The 24114-nt window shown below is 36.1% G+C and overlaps 1 protein-coding gene across 20 annotated transcripts in view; it reads right to left on the minus strand.

Moving 5' to 3' along the window:
• The window catches only part of CEP112 (centrosomal protein 112), a 556597-nt gene that overhangs the window by 415305 nt on the left and 117178 nt on the right, over positions 1-24114 (minus strand). For 18 of the 20 annotated variants that reach the window (XR_007065281.1, XR_007065280.1, XR_007065282.1 and 15 more), the window contains 4 exons: positions 19074-19160; positions 15937-16036; positions 12122-12240; positions 2895-3038 (listed from right to left, as the gene is read on the minus strand). Coding sequence is in view for 17 of the 20 variants with exons in the window: in NM_001353128.2 (NP_001340057.1) it covers positions 2895-3038; positions 12122-12240; positions 15937-16036; positions 19074-19160 (450 nt within the window). In the remaining 3 variants the exon portion in view is untranslated. Of the gene's footprint in view, positions 1-2894; positions 3041-12121; positions 12241-15936; positions 16037-19073; positions 19161-24114 lie in introns of those variants that run through there. The other 2 variants (XM_005257125.4, XM_011524466.3) reach the window with 2 other exon arrangements.

A 24114-nucleotide genomic window follows, 5' to 3' on the forward strand; every position in this document is an offset into this window, starting at 1 on the left:
CCATTGCCTTTCCAACTCCAAAAATTGTATTGCTCTCTTATTCTCTTTGTCCATCAGGGCTTACACCTTTTTCTTTACCCTATTCCTATTATTTCCATGGAAGGGAATGGAGGCCCAAACAATTTTCCACTCTTCATCAAACAAATGTGTTAATTTTTTCTTTTTTTTGGATCCATTGCCCAAGCTGGCATCCAGTAGCACAATCACACCTCACTGCAACCTTGACCTAATGGGCTCAAGTAATCCTCCTGCCTCAGCCTCCCAACTAACTGGGACTACAAGCACACCCCCCCGGGCCTAGCTAATTTTTTTTTTTTTTAAGAGACATGGTCTCACCATGTTACCCTGGATGGTCTTGAATTCCTGGGCTCAATCAATCTAACTACCTCAGTCTCCCAAAGTGCTGGGAACTTCTTAAACTGAGTCCTTCTTTTTCGTTTGTGTGTCTCTCTTGATTGTCATTCTTGTATGTTTCATTTTTGAACATAATATTAACAATGATCTGAGTGTTTATTATTGTGTATATTAATATAATATTTTATGTATATTAATATATGTATATATTATATACTTAATTTATGTATATTAATATTTCCAACAACTTACATTATATTGTACTACTGTTATTCTATTCCACAAATAAGAACAATTAACATCTGAAGAGCTTACATGACACTCAAGCTATTAAGGAGTTGGAATTTGAACCCACAACTGTCTGACCCTAAAGTCCAGGTTCCAAACAACTGTGCATACCACTTCTCATTTCTTTTTCAATGTGAGGTAGACCTTAGTGCTGGTCCAAGGGTGCAAGGTAACACACTCTAAGATATATGTGTCATACGCCTGCGTAACAACTCTTGTTTAAATTCCACAGCTTTAAATTCAAGAAAGTACTTGGACCAAGCCAGGCTGGCCTGGGGAGGTTGTGAATGGTAAATGAGACAGAGTTCATGCCTGGGATACAACACTTGACCATTCTATGAGGTCATATTACATACAGATGCTCCTTGACTTAAAATGAGATCATGTCCCAATAAACCTATCATTAAGTTTCAAATATCATTAATTCAAAAATGCATTTAATACACCTAACCTACCAAACATCATAGCTTAGCCTGGCCTATCTTAGATGTGTTCAGAACATTTACTTTAGCATACAGATGGGCAAAATCATCTAACACAAAGCCTATTTTATAATGAAGTATAGGGTATTTCATGTAATTTACTGAATACTGTATTGAAAGTGAAGAACAGAATGAATGTACAGATGGATGGTCCCCAGCTTACAATGGCTTGACTTACATGACTTTTTGACTTTACGACAGTGCAAAAGCAATATGCATCACTTTAAGTACCCATGCAACCATTTTTGGAAATAAGCCCATAGTAAATTGAGGAGCATCTGGTATTCTACTGAATGCATCTTACCTTTGCACCAACATAAAGTCAAAAAATTGTAAGTCAAACCATCGTTAAGTAGGGGACCATTTGTATCAGTAACAAGACTGATGCGATGCACTGAACACGGACATGAGGAGCTCTGAGCCACATGCAGAGTAGCCTTCCAGCAAAACTGTTCCAGGCTTATGGATCTTGAGATGTAAGGCAGGTTCCTAAAGAGCTGAAGACAGTCACTTCCCCAGACCTAGACTCCACAGCCATATATATATATAATCAATGAAGATTCTCTTTGGGAGATCCTCTATCTCATCCTGACCAGTGTCACAGGTCTCTCTGCTGTGTAGCCTGACTGTGGTGACCTCCTTCCTGAATTACTTCAGTAAGGACCATTTTGGGCTTACCCATGTGATGTCTATGTCTGGTTCCCGAGTTAATATGATCTATTAAGAACACTGGTCAGAGTGGTCACACTACTCCAATCTCCCTCTTTGATTTCCTTCACATTAGCATTATTTTCAGAAAAACAATCAAGTCTTCCATTTAAAAAAAAATGAAACAAACAAAAAAAGATAGAAAAGAAATGGCCAGGCGTGGTTGATCATGACTGTAATCCCAACACTTTGGGAGGCCAACGCGGGCAGATCGCTTGAGTCCAGGAGTTCAAGACCAGCCTGGCCAACATGGCGGAACCCTGTCTCTACTAAAAATATAAAAATTAATCGGATGCTGTGGCATGCACCTGTAGTACCAGCTACTTGGGAGGCTTAGGCACAAGAATCGCTTGAGCCTGGGAGGCAGAGGTTGCAGTGAGCTGAGACTAAGCCACTGTACTCCAGCCTGGGCAACAGAGCAAGACCCTGTCTCAAAGGAAAAAAAAAAAAGAAAAGAGATTATCTCTGAACTGAAAGTCAATGGAAAAAAAAACAAGAAGAAAAAAGATTTATAAAGGCTTCTGAGGGTTAAAAAATAATAAATAAGACTAGGTACAGGGGCTCACACCTGTAATCCCAGCACTTTGGGAGGCCAAGGAGGGTGGATCACAAGGTCAGGAGTTCGAGACCAGCCTGGCCAACATGGTGAAACCCCCTGTCTACTAAAAATACAAAAAATAGCTGGGCATGGTGGCGGGCACCTGTAATCCCAGCTACTCAGGAGGATAGTTTGAACCCAGGAGGCGGAGGTTGCAGTGAGCCAAGGCCATGCCGTTGCACTCCAGCCTGGGTGACAGGGTGAGACTCCGTCTCAAAAAATAAAAGTAAAAATAATAATAATAATAAATAAAAAGCAGCATTAAACACACTAGAGTCAAATCCCTCACAGACTTCAAGGGTCTGTCCATGGCCACACATAAATCTGTATGGAGTAGGAAGGTAAAGTTTTTCTTTTGATTCTGTAACACACTTCTTTCTACACTGTGCACATCAGGGAAACATGAGGACATGGAAATTGAGAAGACAGGTTCTAAGATGTCAAGAACAGGTTTAAAGACTCACTGTGGACTGTGTTTGCGCCATGTATTCACTCTCCATTTTATTCAGACGCACATTTGTATCCTCAAGCAATTCTTGAATGTTTTCAGTGTGTTGCTTTTGAAGATCAAACTTTTCCTGTTCCATTTCTGCTACAGCATTGTGAAGCTACATCAGGAAATCAAGAGTTGACTCTTTTACTACTATGGAATTGACTATTTTGTAATTCAGCGGAAAAAATGGTTTCTATATTCCTCTATTTATATATATGATGACCTGAACACCAAAAGATACAAAAAACCACCAGTAAACATTCAAGGTAAAGATATCATATAAAAAGCAGGATCAAGAAACACTTAATTTTTCCTTTACTTTCCTGAATTGAAAATTTTAATGGATGAACAAATATTAAAAGGAATTATCTGCCTCAGGTAGAAATGGTAAATAAATCAGGCAGATAATACAAGTGAACATTACTAGTATTAGTCTGAAATGAGAAAACAGAAACATTATAATATTGTAACTAATTAGGAATATTGTCCCATTGTCCCCATTATTCATCCTATTTGCACGGAATTTTGTACACCAGTAATGTTAAAAACTGCTTTCTCCCCTACCTGCACCTCAAACAAGAAATTACTTCTAGTCATTCCCTAATCTATACAAAAACAGACAAAAAGATCACATTTATCAGTCAAACAATATGGGTAGGATGACTAAGCAGAATTGTATACTACATGTACAGAGGTCTTTATTTATAAAAATCATTATGTATATACTGTTTAAATGGATGAGCTTTTAAAATTTCTACACAAACTAAGGTAAGGAAAACAAAGGCAAATACAGGAGGTCCAGACAAGCTTCAATGGACATCTTCCAAAAGGGGTTGAAAATCTGTGCTCCCAGCCCTGTGGGCATTCCTTCACTTATCTTAATGGGGGTACAACTCCGAGTCTAACTTCCATTCCCTGCATCCAACCCCACACCTACCCAATAGGAGAAGAGACCAGGAGTCCAAACAGTCCAAATGATATATTTGGCTTTTTGTTTTTGTTTTTGTTTTGAGATGGAGTCTCACTCTGTCACCCAGGCTGGAGTGCAGTGGTGCAATCTCGGCTCAGTGCAACCTCCGCCTCCCAGGTTCACGTGATTCTCCTGCCTCAGCCTCCCAAGTAGCTGGGATCAAAGGCAGCCGCCAAAACATCTGGCTAATTTTTTATATTTTTAGTAGAGCCGGGGTTTCACCATGTTGGTCAGCTTGGTCTCGAACTCCTACCCTCAAGTGATCCACCCGCCTCAGCCTCCCAAAGTGCTGGGATTACAGGTGTGAGCCACCGTGCCTGGCCCCAAATAATACATTTGATTCACTACCTATAAATAGGGAAGAGAGAAAGGACAAATAGAGGCAGTGTGAACTCTTATTTGACTAGAAAGATACTGGAAGGACAGGGAAAACCTGTGAGAGATGGAAGCTAGGGCAGAATGCAGGCAATAATTATGATAATTGTACTGGTAAAGGTCTCAAGAACGCTTCTTCTAGTTTCTAGCTGAATAGGAAGAATGAGGATGCTCAGTAATAGCCATACAGAAGACTCCTGGATTTTGCAAGTTTAACATACACAGTTTTGATTATTTGTAAGTGGTCCCCGAAATCCCTGATGTATCTAATTTTTAGTTTTGCTGAAATAAACATTGTAAAGCAGTATTAGGTCTGTTGTTCAAAAGTGAGTCACATAGCTGGTACAATGCACCCAAATCTCAGTGCTCCTTCACAGCTGTCGAGTGACATGATAGTAACTCAGATAATGGGCTCTAAAGGAGTCACTTAGAATTTTACAGTTGTACTTACAGGAGCAATTATATGATGTAGTGGTTTCCTCATGTTTAAGGTCTCCCAAAGCCCCTAGAACATATGCCTGCCGAATGTCAAAAATCTAATAGCCCATCAAAACTTAGTGGTTTCTCATGTGTCTTCCACAGTTGTTTTATAAAGGGACCGTCGCTGTCGGAGGGGTGGCTGTAAGTCAGTCTACAACACTCATCCAAGGAATTTGTAGTTGAGACTACAAGGGTAAAAATGGCACTGGCAAAAACAACTATGCTATTACTTGGCTGATGTGTTTGAGGACTAGATAGGCATCTGGTCTCATAGTCTAACCAGAGGTGATTAAAATGTATTCATTCAACAAATTTTATTAGTACCTGCTATGTACCAGGCATAATGCATCAGTGAGCACTTTCCCAAACCTAACAATGAATTGGAGTCCAGGTCACTCAGTCTAGGAGGCTTTAAAGGGCAAACGTTCCTTTAAGGGATAAACTATCTTAGTAGCAAATATTATTAGGCTATAGGATACAAATCTTGCTGGAGTTTATGAAACCATAGGACATAACAATGAGTTGATCCATAGGAATTCTCAAGAAGAATTTTTACCCAGAGTTTGATAATGGGTACAGGAGACACCAATGCCCTTCCCAGCATCCTACATATTCGTCTTTAACCATATAGTTGGCTCATGCCAGAGGAGACCCAGAGGCAACAGAAATCTGTCCCAAATAAAGGGAAAAGTATTACAAAACCCCACAGGTCAATAGCGCAGCCACTGTGGAAAACACTTTGGCAGTTCCTCAAAAAATTTATCAAAAAGATACACAGAGTTACCACATAACCCAGGAATCCTACTCCTAGGACTACACCTAACAGAATGTAAAAACACACACAAATGTTCACAGCAACATTATTCACGATATCCAAAAAGTGGAGTCAACTCAAATGTCTATCAACTGATGAATGGATAGGCAAAATGTGGTCTATCCATACAACGCAATATTATTTGACCATAAAACTGATTGAACTATTGATTCATGCTACAGTGAGGGTGAAACTTAAAAACATTACGGTAAGTGAAAGAAGCCAGTCACAAAATGCCACATATTATATTATTGTATTTATATGAGATATCTAGAATAGGCAAATCTATAAAGACAAACAGTAGATTGATGGTTGAAGAGCCTGGGGTGTGGGGAGTGGTAACTGACTGCTGATGGATAAAGGTTTCTTTCTAGGGCAATGAAAATGGTCTGTAAATTATATTGTGGTGGAAGTTGCACAACTTTGTGAATACATCAAAAAAACCAATGAATTGTATACTTTAAGAAGGTGAATTTTATGGCATGTAAATCATAACTCAATATTTTTTAAAGGCCCACAGAACAGCAAAACGTGTTGACAGCTGGGGCAAAAGTCAAGACAGGAAGAAGAATTGTGAGAAAAGATGAGGCTTGAAAGATCACCAGAGTCTTTATCATGAAAAGCCTTGTAAGTCCTAAGAACTAAGGAAACAATGGGAGCCACTAGGACAATGGGAAACACTAGAGTGATTTAAACATGATTGTGAGGTCAACCAGATTTGTGTTTGTGAAAGACCAATTTGGCTGTATTGTGGGACATGGAATGACGACGGACAGACTGGAGGTAGAGGCCAGTTACAGGTGATCTAGGCAAGAGACAGGGGTCTCCTGAACTAAGGAAGGAAGAGTGGTAGATACATTCAAAAGATGAATAATTAACAGAACTTGGCAAGGCATTAGATGTGTGAGCTGAAGCAAAAAGAAGAGTCTTTAAGTAGCTGAGTTGATCCCTATCCCATAGAGAATACCCTACTGGGTAGGTATATCCCTCCATGGGATAGGCATCTCCATGGGATAGGTATTCTCCATGGGATAGGGAAAAAGGAAATACCCATTTTAGCAACAAACGAAGAAGATGAAGTTTAAGGACAATGATGGAATTCAGACCAAGGAGAGATTTTAAATAGGTAGTTGAATAACTGGGACTTAAGGTGAGAGACATAGGATGCATATTTCTATTAGGGAATATACACACACACATACATATATCACCTTGTCCATGTAGAATACATAATAATTGTTGAATGAATGACTACATAAATAACAAAGTGTATCTAACATGTGCTTATTAATTTTGGTGCCTGTCCTGCTTGTACTCAGTTTTCATCTCAGCCCAGATTTACATAAAATTACTCTACACACACACACACACACACACACACACACACACACACAGCCTTCAGTGAGGGGGCAGGTACAGTGGCTCACACCTGTAATCCCAGCCCTTTGGGAGGCCAAGGCGGAAGGATCACTTGAGGCCAGGAGTTCGATACCAGCCTGGCCAACATGGAAAAACCCCATATCTACAAAAACTACAAAAATTAGCCAGGCAGTGGTGGCCACACCTGTTATTCCAGCTACTTGGGAGGCTGAGGCATGAGAAGAGCTTGAATCCAGGAGGCAAAGGTTGCAGTGAGCTAAGATTGCACCACTGCTCTCCAGCCTAGGTGACAGGGCAAGACTCTAAAAAAAACAAAAAAAAAAACTTCAAGCAGGTTTACGTATTTACACATCCACTATTTATTGTATAACTAGAAAAAAAAGCTTTACTAATCCAGCAGAAAGAAAAAGACGTACCCTTGTAAGTGGCAGAAGCCTCTTCTCTTCAAATACCTGACAATTTAAACTAGAATATATGAAATTAGGGAATTCAGACAAAGGAAAGCAGGGGACTTGCTAGGTACACAATGTCATTGAAGTAAATACAAAAATATGCCAAATTTATAGAAAAGATAAAACCAAAATGTGAGAAAGAAAAACCACATGACTAGAAATAACAAAATAAAAACTAGAAAAGAACCAACTAAAAAGCAATCTATAGATTCAACACTATCCTATCAAATTACCAATGTCATTTTTTACAGAATTAGAAAAAAGATTCTAAGATTCATATGGAACCAAAAAAGAGCCTGAATAGTTAAAGCAATCCTAAGCAAGAAGAATAAGTCAGGCATGGTGCCTGACTCCTGTAATCTCAGCACTACTGGGAGGCTGAGGCAGGAGGATCGCTTGAGGTCAGGAGTTCAAGACAAGCCTGGGCAACATAGTGAGACCCCACCTCTACAAAAAAAAGTTTTAAATTAGCCAGGTGTGGTAATGCACACCTGTAGTCCCAGCTACTCAGGAGACTGAGGCAGGAGGATCACTTGAGCCCAGGAGCTCAAGGCTGTGGTGAGCTGTTATGGTGCCATTGCACTCCAGACTGGGTGACAGAGCAAGACCCTGTCTCAAAACCAAAATAAAACAAAAGAACAAGGCCAGTGGGAATCACATTACCCAACTTAAAACTATGTTATAAGGCTACAATAACCAAAACCACATGGTACTAGCATAAAAACAGACACATAGACCGATGAAACAGAAGAGAGAACCCAGAAATAATGATGCACACCTACAACCATCTGATCTTTGACAAAGTTGACCAAAAAAATGGAGAAAGGACCCCTTATCCAATAAATGGGATGAGATAACTGGCTAGTCATATGCAGAAGAATGAAACTGGATACCCCACAAAACACAAAAATTAACTCAGGATAGATTAAAGACTTAAGTATAAGACTTAAAACTATAAAAATCCTAGAAGAAAACCTAGGAAGTACCATTCTAGACATTGACCGTGGTAAAGAATTTATGATTAAATCCCCAAAAGCAATTGCAACAAAAATAAAAAATGGACAAGTGGGACGTAATTAAAATAAAGAACTTTTGCACAGCAAAAGAAACTATCAAGTAAACAGATAACTCACAGAATGGGAGAAAATATTTGCAAACTATGTATCTGACAAAGGTCTAATACCCAGAATCTATAAAGAACTCAACAATTCAACAACAAAAAACAAATAACCCCATTAAAAAGTGGGCAAAGGACATGAACAAACAATTCTCAAAAAAAGACATACAAGTGGCCAACAAACATACGAAAAAATGTTCAACATCACACGTCATCAGAGAAGTGCAATTCAAAACCACAATGAGATACCACCTCACACCAGTAAAAATGGGTGTTATTTAAAAGATTAAAAACAACAGATGCTGGCAAGGTTGCAGAGAAAAAGGAATGCTTATATACTGTTAGTGGGAACGTAAAGTAGTTCAACCACTGTGGAATGCAGTTTGGAGATTTCTCAGGGAATTTAGAACAACTACCATTTGACCCAACAATCCCATTACTGGGTATATACCCAAAGGAAAATAAGTCATTCTACAAAAAAGGCACATGCGCTTGTATGTTCATTGCCATGCTATCCACAACAGCAAAGACATGGAATCAACCTAGATGTCCATCGATGGTGGATTGGATAAAGAAAATGTGGTACATATACACCATGGAATACTAGATGGCCATAAAAAAATGAAATCATGTCCTTCGCAGCAATGTGGATGCAGCTGGTGGCCATAATCCTAAGCAAATTAATGCAGAAATAGAAAACCAAGCATGTTCTCACTTACAAGTGGGAGCTAAACATTGGTATATATGGACATAAAAACAGGAACAATAGACACTGGGGACTCCTAGAGGAAAGAGGGGGACAAAGGCTGAAAAACTACTGTTGGGCACTATGCTCACTACTTGGATGATGGGATCATTCATATCCCAAACCTCAATGTCACACAATATAACCATGTAACACACCTGCACATCTACCCTCTGAATCTAAAATAAATGCTGAAATTATTTTAAAAAATGAAATAAAGTATCCATAATATTCAAAGCAATATACAGATTCAATGTAATCCCTATCAAAATATCAATGACATTTTCACAGAAATAGAAAAAGCGATCCTAAAATTTGCATGTAACCACAGAAGATTCTGAGTAGCCAAAGCAATCTTAAGCATGAAGAACAAAGGTGGAGGCATCACAGTAACTGACATGAAAATATACTTCAAACTTGTAGTAACTAAAACAGTATGCTATTGGCATAAAAACAGACACACAGACCAATAAAACAGCATGAAGCACCCAGAAAAAAAATCCACACATTTACAGCCAGCTGATTTTTGACAAAAATGCCAAGAACATACAATGGGGAAAGTATAGTCTCTTTAATAAATGGTGCTGGGGAAACTGGATATCCACATGCAGAACAATGAAATTAGACCTGTATTTCTCACCATACACAAAAATCGACGCAAAATGAATTGAAAGACTTAAATGGAAGAACCAAAACTATGGAACTACTAGGAGAAAACATAGAGGAAAAGCTCCATGACATAAATCTAGGCAACAATTTCTATACAGCACCTCAAAGCACAGGCAACAAAAGCAAGGAAAAAAAAAAAGACAAATGGGATTACATCAAACTAAAAAGCTTCTGCATGGAAAAAAAAATCAACAGAGTGAAAAGGCAACCTACAGAATGGGAAAATACATTTGCAAATTATACATCTGATATGGGGTTTATATCCAAAATATATAAGAAACTCAAACAACTCAATAGCAAAAAAACAAATATTCTGATGATTAAAAAATAACCTAATGACTTATTTAGGCCAAGGACCTAAATAGACATTTCTCAAAAGAAGACACAGAAATGGCCAAAAGGTAGATGAAAAATGCTAAACCTCACTAATCATTAGGGAAAGGCAAACCAAACTTACAATGAGATATCATCTAACTGTAGTTAGCATGATTATTATTAAAAAGTCGAAAGATAGCAAGTGTTGGTGAGGATATAGAGAAAAGAGAACCCTTATATACTGCTAGAGGGAATACAAATTAGTACAGCCATTAGGGAAAACTGTGTGGTTCCTCAAAAAATTAAAACTGGAACTACCATATGATCTAACAATCCCCCTACTAGATATATATCTGAAGAAAATAAAATCAATATGTCAGAGATATCTGCATTCCCACATTTACTGCAGCATTATTCACAATAGTCAAGATATGAAATCAATGTAAGTGCCCATCAAAGGATGAATGGATAAAGAAAATGTGATAGATACACACACACACACACACACACACACTGGAATACTATTCATCCATAACAAAGAATGAAATCCTGCCATTTGCAACAACATGGACAAACTTAGAAGGACATTGTGTTCAGTGGAATAAACTGGGAGCAGAAAAACAAATACATAATCACACTCGTGGAATTTTAAAAGTTGAGCTCATAGAAGTAGAGAACAGATAGCGATTACAAGAAGCAGGGGAGGAGAGGGAGGAAAGGGGACAGAGAGAAGTTAAAAAGCAGGTATAATGTTACAGTTATTGATAGGGTTTGGCTGTGTCCCCACCCAAAATCTCATCTTGAATTGTAATCCCCATAATCCCTATGTGTCAAAGGAGAGACCAGGTGGAAGTAACTGCATCATGGGGTCAGTTCCCCCAAGCTGTTCTCATGATAGTGAGTGAGTTCTCATGAGATCCGATGGTTTTATAAGTGTGTGGTAGTTCCTCCTGTGTTCATTCTCCTTGCCGCCTTGTGAAGAAGGTGGCTTGCTTCCCCTTCACCTCCTACCATGACTGTAAGTTTCCTGAGGCCTCCCCAGCCATGCTGAACCGTGAGTCAATTAAAGCTCTTTCCTTTATAAATTACCCAGTCTCAGGCAGTTCTTTATAACAGTATGAAAATGGACTAATACATAGTGGACAATGGACACTAATATAGGAGAAATAAATTATGGTTTATTTATAATAAAAATGGACAATATAATAAAAATGGACAATAATATAGGAGAAATAAATTATGGTTTTCTAATGCACAGTAGAGTGATTATAGTTTATAATAATGTATTATATATTTCAAAAAGTTAGAAGAGAGGAATTTGAATGTCCTCACCAAAAAGAACTGATAAATGTTTGAGGTGATAGAAATGCTAATTACTCTGATTTTATCAGTATATAAAGTATCTATGTATTGAAATATCACACTGTACCCTAAAAAATGTAAAATCATTACATGTCAATCAAAAATAAAATAAGTTTATACAATAAATTCTAGTCCATATTATATTTTCTAAAATTTCAGGAAAGAAATACTCCAATGGCCCAAATACAAAATTAAAATGGCTTAATTTCCAAAAACTGTTTTAGTGCTATTTAACTAATTTTGTTTAAAATCTGTTGGCTGATAAGAAATCCAGAACATTAATTAAATTCAAGAGCTAGTCAAAAGAATATTTTCTAAATGAAAACTATTTTATAGACCATAGACTTCCAGAAGAAAATATACCAAAACATGAACAGTAGCTATTTCTAAACAGCCTGGAATTTTAGTTATTTTTTAAACTTTTCTGTATATTCTGTGAAATCTATTACTTTTATAATTAAATATGTTACTTGGAAGCATAAACTTTTATGTTTTCCATTAGTATTTTATGTAGCTTACCTTTTTTTCCCAGTCATTATTTAGAGATTCCGTACTTTGTTCACATATCTTTTTCAGCTCTGCAATCTGGTCTTCTTTAGTCTCTCTGATAACTTGACAGTCACGTATCAGTGTCTGAACTGTCAAAAATTTTGAAAACATAGTTAAACCAATTCTAGGTACATAGAGTTTGATGATATAAAATTTAGTGCACCAGTTAGTAGGTAATTCAATTTTTCACCAAGTCTTCTCAATGCTTTCTTCTAAAATATCTTTTATTCCTTGCTCTTTTTCTCGATTTCTACCACCACAGACAGCCTTGGTTAAATTCATCATTACTGGCTCCCTAGACAATTGTAACAGTGTATTGGTCTCAAGCATCATTCCCCTCCAAGGAGTCCTCTGTTGCTTTGAGGAAATCTTTCACCATTATTCTAAGTGAAGTAACTCAGGAATGGAAAACCAAATACCATATGTTTTTACTTATAAGTGGAAGCTGAGCTATGGGTATGCAAAGGAACACAGAATGGTATAATGGACTTTGGAGATTGAGAAGCAGGGGGTGGAAAAGGGGGTGTGGGCTAAAAACTACATATTGGATACAATGTACATTACTTGGGTGATGGGTACACCAAAGTCTCAGACTTCACCACTGTACAATGAATCCATGTAACCAAAACCACTTGTAACCTAAAAGCTACTGAAATTTTAAAAATTTAAATAAGTAAAGAGGCCTTTCACTGGTGCAAATCTGGTAGTTATGCCCAGGCTTACAAACGTTCTACAGCTCTTCTCATCTAAAAGATAAGTATAGGTCAAAGCCTCTGACATGGACAAGAGTTCCTCATGGTTCTGGCCATATCTCTTCCCACTTGCATGTTTTAAACCACTATTATAAACACACCAACCTATATGCAGATTCCTGAGTTCATATTCTTTCTTATATCACTGCCTAAATATGATCATCTATCTACATAGAATGCCCTTCCCTCCCTTATTGAAAAACTCCTACTCATCCTTAGACTCTCAACTGAAAAATCACACCTTCTTTATGAACCAGTCATAAAGAATCACTAAATCATGATTCACTCAACCAGATTTCTCCCCTTGCAGGGACAGAAAGAAATTCCTCTTTATTCCCATGAAACCTTGAGTATTTCTCAATTAAATCATTTATTAACATTATAGTGATTTACTTGCCTGTTTCCTCTTTAATGAGACTATGTTCACGGAGAAGAAAGAGATTTCAACTTTTTATCCACAGGGCATAACAGTGCCACACAGGCAAGTGCTCAAAAAGACGTGTACTGAATGAATAAATAAAGGAACCCCTCCTTTCAATATATTGTTGCTGCTAGATACTTTTAAATCATTTTTGAAGTTTATGTTACTAAAATGAAATAGGTTTTAAATTATATAAAATATTTGCCTTATAAATCATTTCTCTATCTTCTTTACTAAAATTATTTAAACAGTCACTGATTTAAGTGAAAATGTGTTTAATATATTCATCTCTTCTGGATAGTAAAATAAATTCAGCTCTATTTTTAATTGGATATAATCTTATCATAGCTTACTAAATATGTTTTTATTCATTTACTTCGAGACAGCAAAATTTTTGTAAACATTTCCCTAAAAATTGTTTTCACTCTTATATCTCAACTACACAACAAATAAGGAGAGGAGATGAATCCAAGTTAACCTAATGTGGGTCTTTACCATCTACAATATATTTTACTTTACACTTCCAAAATTAAACTAAGATCTGATTGCAATTCAAAATGCCTTTAGAAACATTATTTTTAAAACCTCATCATTTTTAAACCTTAGGCATGTTTGAATTACCTATTTTGAATCAGGGTAAAGAAGAAGACCTGGAAATAAATTTAAAATATTTTTCTAGACACTGGTAATATTTGGAGAAAAAACCTAAACGAATTTATAATTGCTTTTACCAACATTTAAGGGTGGAAATGAACCTACAAATATTTATTTAATTGGTTAACTTATCTATGTAATGGCTGTCCTAATTTGTCAAAGCCATTATCATTCACTCAGATATACTCAGGTTTGATCTGGGGGAGAGCCAGTAAGTTCCATACAGAAAATCCTAAATGAAAACCTTCCCTTCTCCTTTTCTCTTATTCATTGCCTAGATCTTCTCATTCACTAAATCATGATTCACTCTTAAAAACTTCTTCTTTTCTTCGGTTCCATTCTAACTACTCCCAGCGCCATCATTCAGAAATCCTTCTCACCTTAACATGCAAAATTACAGCAGCACAGAAGCAGAACATCTCTGAGTTGGCAGGGACTTTATATATTATTTATTCTGATCTCACCATTTTATAATGAGTAAACCAAGACCCAGAGACAACTTGCTATCATACATCGGACACTGGTAACAGAGCTGGAATTACAGCCTATGTTTTCTAATAAGTAGAATTCTCTCTCCTTCACTCCATTCTGCCTCTGCCTAACAGACTTGGAATTGGCCTACTCTGTTCAATACACCCTCCATTACCAGGCTACTCCTCCCAAAACATGAGGTCCTAAAACTCACATCTCAAAATCCTTCCCTGGCTCTTTACATCCAGCATCTACAGGACAAAGTTCAAGCTTCTAAATCTAAAATTCAAGGTCATACTTAATCTAGCCCCAAGTCAACTATCTTAATATTTTAAAATCTTTTTTTTTTTTTTTTCTGAGACGGAGTCTTGCTCTGTTGCCCAGGCTGGAGTGCAGTGGCACGGTCTCGGCTCACTGCAAGCTCCACCTCCCAGGTTCATGCCATTCTCCCGCCTCAGCCTCCTGAGTAGCTGTGACTACAGGCGCCCGCCACCACGCCCAGCTAATTTTTTGTATTTTTAGTAGAGACAGGGTTTCACTGTGTTAGCCAGGACGGTCTCGATCTCCTGACCTCATGATCCACCTGCCTCGGCCTCCCAAAGTGCTGGGATTACAGGCGTAAGCCACCGCGCCCGGCCTAAAATCTATCTCTTAATGCATGGGGTATCCATTCTAGCTAAATAGTTGAGAAGTACCCTTCCTACAACTTACCTATTTCAGCATTCCCATCCCAGTACCTGCAACTCTTCTCTCCAACTAACCAAGACTTTAAAATTTCACAAAATTTTACAAAAGTTCCTTTCCCAAAACAATATTTTCAACACTCTCTCTCATGACCACCTATTGATGTAGATGTTTCGACCCATAATCATAGTCAACTACGGTCAGAGTTAGCTCAAGTGGTTACCTCCTCATGCCGGACTTTCCATCTGTCCATAGTCAACTTAATACTTGATTACATGCTTTCTTTTCCTTCTTAATTAAAGTGCAAATAGGAAATACATTTTAATTTTTTTCTGTCAATCACAATACCAGCAAATACTATCAGACATAAAAGTAGATACTTAATGTAATGAATTTTACTAGATAAAGAAGAATAATTTCCTTTGACTTCCTCATGAAGGCCAGTAAGTCCTAATTCTATGACTGCCCTCAATACTCTATGGCAGCTGTATCCCAATGAGGCTAGAGTTAAGAAGAGGGAGTGAAAGCAACATACTCTTCCAACTCTGTATCTAAACCAACCACCAGTACTACTCCATCACTGTCACTACACAAACACACACACAGACACACACACACACACACAAATAAACACAGTTTTTGCCCCTTCATATGGAAGCCTATATAAATATATCCACTGATGAAACCCCACATAAACATTCCTATCTCATACTATAAAAGGTCAGAAATCAAATTTTTTTCTCCACATCACTAAAATAAAATGGAAATGTTATTAAAAGATGTATGTAACAACACAACATCACCTTTCTTTTCAAGCTTTCTAATAGTCTCTTCAGTTTCATGTTGTTTACTCCTGTATAAAGTTTTCAGTTCTTCTATTTCATTATTCTTTCTTTCTAAAATCTGCAAATAAATTTAAAATATTTCAGTATATTGTACTACTTTACATATAGGACACTTTTTTGAATCCTGATATATTTAATTCTAAAACATAAATAGAAAAAGTGATTTTAACAAATATGACTACACTGTGAAATTATAAACACACACACACACACACACACACACACACACACACACACAAAGTAGTATCTCTTATCCACAGCTTTACTGTCTGCTGTTTCAGTTAGATGCGTGTGTTTTTGTGTATGTCCATGTTAATAATTCTAGCCTAGTCAGAAGTTCACGTTTTGCTCTTGCAGCAGCTAGGAGGTAGAATCTATATGATCTGCCACACTTGGAAGCTTCCAAGTTGCCTGAAATCGTGAGACTTTCCTCCTTTTGACTAGTGAATATTGCCGCAAATTGGCATTGTAGTGATTTAAGTGACTTTTTAAATTGATTCTCAAATGTCAGTGTTTTGTAAATTAGGTAGAAGTGTTTTGTCCTGAAAGGGAGTTAGGGATTCTTTTTCTCAGATTAGCATAAAAATAGCTGAAATTGTATGTGTCTAATATTTCTCTTCACATATTTTTCTTATACTTACGATATCTACTGTTGTTTATCTGCTAGCAAATTCCAGCAGATAATAAGTGAATGGTGAATTAGTAGGTATACATTAATAGAAACTCGTAAAGAACCAATCATATAACTTTTCAATGAGCATAATATTTTTGTAAGTCTATCTCAGCTAATCTCATAAATGGTTTCCCCCCAAACTGTAAAAATTATATTATAGTGCATTAAGAAAATTATTAAATATACAAGAATAATTATTATCTGAAAGAAATACGTTATCTGAGATTTTTGTATAATAATTTTTAAGGACAGTATAAATAATAATTTCAGTGATTCCCTAAAATATAATTCAGAAATTAAGCTGTCATAAAGTGGCAGAGAGAAGTCATCAGAAACTTGCCAGGTTGGGAGAGTATAATTCATCACATTGCACTGGGATAGAATATTCTTCAGCTGGGCATGTCCCTGGATCCGCCCACAAGCACCGTTCTATCCTCCTAGTGCACAGTAAAAGAATTCCCAGATACATGAGGAGATGACATGTAATCAGCCTCCTTTATATCTAGCTCTGCTACTGTGAATCAGAAAAATCAGCTCAAAATATGTCAAAAATTGCATTAAAATCTATTGTTAATTTATATTATGTCAGAAGTTTTAAATGTAATCATTTAATAAAATTTGTGATTTTATACTTCAAAATACATCTATACTCACAAAAACTACAGAAATAACCAAAATGTAAAAAAGATAGCAAGTAAGAGAAAATGCTAATCAAGGGGAAAAAGGAATATCTACTTTTCTTATGGCTGGGGTATATTTCCCATACACCCAAAAGTCAGCTTAACAAGAACAACAGAAAAGAACGGGGCACAGTAGCACATGCATATAGTCAGCTACTCAGGAGGCTTACAGATCACTTGAGCCCAAGAATTCGAGGCTGAAGTGAGCCATGATCATGGATCATGCCTGTGAATAGCCACTGTCCTCCTCCAGCTTGAGCAACATAGCAAGATCCCATCTCTGGATAATAATAGCCATAAAGAAGCAAAAAAGAAAAAGAATGTATACTAATAGGTAAAACACTCTAAATTTTACGCCTTGCCAATTCCTGATGCTTAGAAAATGCCAGACAAGAGTAAACTGATGAATATACTTTTCAAATCTAGCATAAAGGATTTTATTTATATTTTACTTGGCACTTCAAACTAGTTGCACTGTCTGCTGCAAATAAATTTCAGGATTTATTTTAAAGAGAAATTGCTGGAAAGAATTTTATTATTAAATATGTTACTTTGAGTAAATCTTTGTAACAGACATACCAAGAAACCTATTTCAAATTCCATCACCGTAATTTTTCCAAATAAATTTTTATATTCATTTATCTTATACATCAATAGACTCTATTTCAATTGTACATGTTATATTGAAATTATATTACTGACTCTCTAACATACTTATGATAGAGAACTATTATCTAAACAATTTAAACTAAAGTAAAACTCTAGTAAGAGCAAAAAAAATTTGCCTGTAATATCTGAATGGGGGAGAGGAAATTGGAAAAGGAGAGTTCAGTTTTTTTTTCTCTAATATCCAGTCAGTGGTTTCCTCCTTATTGCTTTAAAGGACAAGCCAAATACGTATTTTACTAAATATTAATATATATATATTAAGCTTTTAAGAAAGCTTGGATACATAATCCTGATGCTGTAACTACTGCAACTACCTGCCTCTGTCTCTAGTACTCAGTTTTGGGAAGCAGAATCATAGGCTTAGTTTTGAAACATTAAATGCAAAGTTTCCATTTGGATCAACCTCCATGTATTTCAAAAAAACACATACATACATTATTATCACTAAATGTTTTAATCATTACTAAAATATAGTAACAACCCAAATCCCATATAGGATAACCATAATTAACAATTTTTGCTGTGCCAGCTAAGAAAAAAAAATAAGTTTTATTTGAAAATACAGGCTGAAAGATTAGAAAGCATCAATCCCAATGAGCTACTTGAAAAACAAGCCTTTATTGTCAGTGCCAGCACTAAAATGCATACAAGTCCAAGAGCTCCTTTTTAAATTAAAAAAGAAATTTAATTACCAGAAAACCAAAAGAATATTAGAATAAAACAAATTCTAGTATTTACCATTGATGTCTTATTTCAACTTTCATGAAAGGTAATGACAGAATGCAGATAAAAGACTATAAGAAGGTCAGCCTAAATGCAATAGTTAAAGAAGGACTAAAAGGTAATGTAAATATAAGGTTTTAAATAAACACATATGTTTAGCTAATAAAGTTAAAAAATCAACTTTTGCTGGGATATTAGTTTAGCATATTCCACTTATAACAGAATGTCATAAAGTACATAAATAAGTGGATGGATGGTTGGAAGAATGGATGGATAACTGGATGGATCATCATAAAACCTAGAATATTTTTAGTGTTCAATATAATTAAAACACGAGATATATATCCTACCTTCTGAACATCAGCATCATGTTTCTGTTGCAGTTTAAGCTTTTCTTCATGAAATTTAGCTTCCATCATTTTTGTTTTCATGTCCAGCTTCAAGAAAAATATTTCAAGGGTGTTATTAATTTACTTTCCCTTTGGCAAAAAATACACAATTAAACTAAAATAATTCCCTATAAAAAAGACAGTTATCATTTTCCACCTTTACCTTGTAGTCACAGATTCTAGCAATCACATTACATATACCAATATGTTTATTTCAGTCCTCTAATTACTTTCAAACTAGTTAAAAGTCTTTAAAATAAATTTCACCTGGTAGGCAAAACTGACAATATGAAGTACAGATTCACTACTCTCCCCATTCTCTCCCGCACAAAAGAGAAAGGCATTTTAAAGTGATATTTTGCTTTTACATTTAAATCCACACAGTATTTTACTCTTCATTATTTTTCATTTCAGTAAGTCTCTTCCAACCTTTTATTTTTTTTTCTTTGATCTACTTGCTCATTTTAAAATACTCTAATTAACCTACATATGTAAATATGACTTGAGAATGAATATCCATAAAAATGGCAAATTACTGATTAGTGCATATCTTTCGACAGTTTTTCAGTTCTCTCTCCCGGAATCATAGACCCCCGCTCCCTCAAGGGAGTGACTTTATCTCCTTCCAAGCATTCCTTAACTTCTATCCTCTCCAAACCAACACCACATGCAACGGTGCTCTGAGCAAAGCCAAAAATGTAACCAATCTTCTTAATATAAGAAGGGTATCCTAGAATTAAAAGAGCAATAGTGACAGGTTTCAAGAAGAGCAACATAAAATTGATTATCTCAAATGTGAAAGTATTTGGTCACATGATTCCTCACAATTTAAGAGAGTTAAGTGTTATACATTGGAGTCTGGCAGACCTCTTTTCCAACTCTAATTCCAATCCCACCATATATGCACTGTTGTGACTTTGAGCAAGTGACCCTTTGACACTCTAGTTCCTCTTCTGCTAATTAAGGAAAAGTATCCTTACCTCAGTGGATTGTGAAAATCATATTCAATAAAATAATTTAAATGACCATACCCAGGACAATGTGTGGCACAAAGTAAGTATGCAAAAATATCAGTCAACCACATTTAGGAAAAACATTTTAATATTATTAATGTACCTTCAAAATATTTTCTTGAAAATTTTTGAAATACACTTTATATTTTCAATTACTTTTTCAAATACAAAATAAATTTAGCAAGATAAACATATATATCATATTAACATATCAAACTGAGATTTTATGTTTCACAAACAAAAGTTAACATAATACAAATTCATGACTTAAATGTTATGAATGGTGGAGAAAGAGACAGTTAACCATTTGCTATGCAAAAAAAAAATTCAATTCCCTTGCCTCTAAATCACACAATATTTCTTCTTCGTTTTTGCAGAAAGGAGGCTAGACAATCTAATTCCATGTAAAGATCCTTCACAGAAGCATTTTTGGGGTCTATTAAAAGGGAACTAAAGCCAAAAAACAGTATGACAAAGCTGGCCAGGTCTAAGAGACATGATTCATTGCCAGATCTTCCCATAACACCTTCTAGAGAACTTGTCATACCCTCAGCTTTTGAGGGTAAGCCCTAAATACCATGTGAGTGTGCTACCATAACCCCAACCCAACACCTCTCACCGGCCCTACCTCATTATTTATTGACCAAGTTAGGAATAAATACCTGAGATATGCTTAAGCAATCCATTAGCTAGCAAAAAATCATTCAGATTCTCTCTCAAGAATCTGAACTAACACACCAAGTTAGCTATTTTGGGGAGCAAACCCAAGTTCTAAAGTGCAGCAACCAAGAGAAAGCAGGCCAATCCAGTATATAGAAAAAAGTAGAGCAAATACACAAAGATTAGAAATCACATAGCATCTGAAATACGAGGGAAGCAAACTCAGGCTCCAACAATCTCAATGACACTAGGGTTAGTTGAACTCAAAAGGATTTTTGTGTATCTTTTTATTTTATGTAGCTTGATGGATCTCTGTTCTTACAACCAAAGATATTTATCTAAATTCTATTCTTCTGGTTATAACTTTTTGCCTTGGCATAATATTAAACTTAAAGAAAAGTTGCAATAATAGCACAAGGAACTCCCACATGCCCTTTACCCAGATTTACCAATTTTTTATATTTTGCCCTATATGCTTTGTCATTTTATGTCTATATCTACCTCTCTATATATATAAATGCATACATATTACTTCCTCAATTATTTGTAAATTAGAAGCATCCTGCCTCTTTATCCCTAAAAACTTCAATATATATTTCCTTAGAACAAGAACACTGTCTTTGATAACCAAAGCGTGGTTATCAAATTGAGGAAATGTAATATTAACACAATGATATTATCTACTGCACAGTTTATACTCAAGTTTTACAAATTATCACAGTAATGTCATTTATAGCTATTATTTTTCATAATCCAGGATCCAACCAAGAATCACGCATTGCTTTTAGTTGTCACATCAACTATTTATTTCTCCTTTAATCTGGAACAGCCTTTCTTCGTGTTTAGTGACCTTGACATTTTTTAAGAGTACAGACCGTTATTAAATGTCTCTCCATTAGGATTTGTCTGATGTTTCCTCATGACTAGGTTTATGAGATTTTGGCAAGAATGACACTAAAGTGATACTGTGTCCTTTTTCATTGCATCATATTAGAAGGAGGCTAGTTTGTCCCAATATCTCCAATGTACAGCTCAGTAACTTGGTTAAGACAGTGAGCACCAAGTTACTCTAAGGGTAATATTACAAAGAAAGTCTCTCCACTGCCATCCTTTTAAAAAGTTAAGAGTATCTCATCTCTGGAAACTCTTACCTTGATGCTACAGAATACCTCTATATTTCCACCCTGTACTCTAAAGTAGAAATCCTGGATGTATTATGTACAACTAGGGCATGATGCCTGATGAAACATCAGGATTAGAATATAGAAACAATCTTGCTACTATATTATATAAAGACAGTATAAGGATGCAGATTTAGATATAGATGTAGATATAAATATAGATATGTACCTATGTGTTCATCTATATAGTCTGAAATTGAAAAACATTTCTAATTAGTTTGACCTCCAAGGAAGCCTGACTTCAAAAAACATTTAAGTTTTCTTTTTCTGACATCAGAATATACATTATCAATTTCAAATGTAAGATGTAAAAATTAGGCTTGCAGATCTACTTCAGGCTATAATGAAGCAGGGTACCACACTAACCTCCCACTGTTAACCATAAAATGGGATAAAATATATGAGATAACCATTCTCAAGTATTGGACAATAGGTAATGCAGTACTGTGATCCTCAAGAATTGAAGACCACGATAGTCCCAACTTTCCGCCTGGGTACAACAACTGGAGTCCATGTGGAGCACCACAGGCCTACTGAGCTGAGAAAGCAGAGGTCAGAGTTCTGAGCAGTTAAAGAATCTTAAATGCAGGGTACTAAAAGAGGTATAAGCTTCCCAGAAGATTTCCCTGTCACTCCTCAACCACAGGCTGATGGCTGGGATGTGTGCACCCTGGGTGAATAACAAAACATTACTGCTACAAAGTAGAAAATGTAACAGCTGCTACAGGTTAAAGTGCTGGGAAGCACCAAAGACCTGCCCAGCCAGGTGGAGACAGCTTCCTAACAACTTGCAAATACCTGGGAATTCAGCTGAAACAACATAAAGGCCACACCTTAGGACTACTCTAAACCTACCTACAAGGACTGAAAGCAAGCCTCAGAAAGATAGTTTGTAAGACAGGTCCCATGGTGTTGGATAATATCTTTGGCTTTCTATGTATTTGCCTTAACAGAATGTAAAAACCAAGTCTACACAACTTAAAGGTGATTAACTAGTAATTGAACAGCCTATAAGAACAACAACAACAAAAAAATTCTATGGAGAAAAATAACAGAATCCAGAGTCCCTACAAGGTATCAACCACAAGGTCCTTTATCTAGAAAGTAATAAAGATGCACCAAAAAAATAAAAAAGAAAAGAAAATTTTGTCCTTAGGCAAAATCAATATAAATAAATAAGTTAATAAGGCCCAAGATGACTCTACTTCAGCACACCACAGTTTAAAGAAGTTCATATAAATACCTTCAAAGAACTAAAGGAAAACATATTCAAAAATTAAAGGAAAATATTATTTTAATGAAAGAACGGATAAGGGATCTCAGCAGATAGATGGAAATTATAAAAAGGAAACAAATGAAAATTCCAGAATCGAAAAGTGCAATAATTCAAAGGAACAAAAATTCACTAGATGAGCTTAATGGATTAGAGAGAACAGATAAAGGAGTCTGTAAATTTGATGACAGAACAAGAGAAATTATCTGACAGAAAAAAAGATTGAAGAATTGATTTTTAAAAATCAATAACACTTTGGAAACTGTGAAACAAAATCCAAGAGTCTAATATACATGTAATTGGGGTTCCTATAGAAGCAAATAAGAATAGGGAAAGATTATTTAAAGAAATAATGGCCAAAAATTTCCCAAGTTTGATAAAATATAAAAATACTGACTTAGAGAACAAGATGCTCAATGAACTCTATGCAGGATAAATGCAAGAAAACAACGCCTAGAAACATCACAAACTGCTGAAAAACAAAAACAAAAAGAAAAATCTTGGCTGGGCATGGTGGCTCACACCTGTAATCCCAGCACTTTGGGAGGCCAAGGCAGGCAGATCACAAGGTCAAGAGTTCGAGGCCATCCTGGCCAACATGGTGAAACCCCGTCTCTACTAAAAATACAAAAATTAGCTGGGCGTGGTGGCACGTGCCTGTAGTCTCAGGTACTCAGGAGGCTGAGGCAGGAGAATTGCTTGAACCCAGGAGGCAGAGGTTGCAGTGAGCCAAGATCGTGCCACTGCACTCAAGCCTGGTGACAGAGTGAGGCTCTGTCTAAAAAAAAAAAAGAAAAAAAAAAAAAAAGAAAAATCTTAAAAGCAGCCAGAGGAAAACAGGCATTACATTCAGAGAAACAACAGGCTCCCCAACA

Source organism: Homo sapiens, chromosome 17 (assembly GCF_000001405.40).
Source record: "Homo sapiens chromosome 17, GRCh38.p14 Primary Assembly".
NCBI classification, from domain to species: Eukaryota; Metazoa; Chordata; class Mammalia; order Primates; family Hominidae; genus Homo; species Homo sapiens.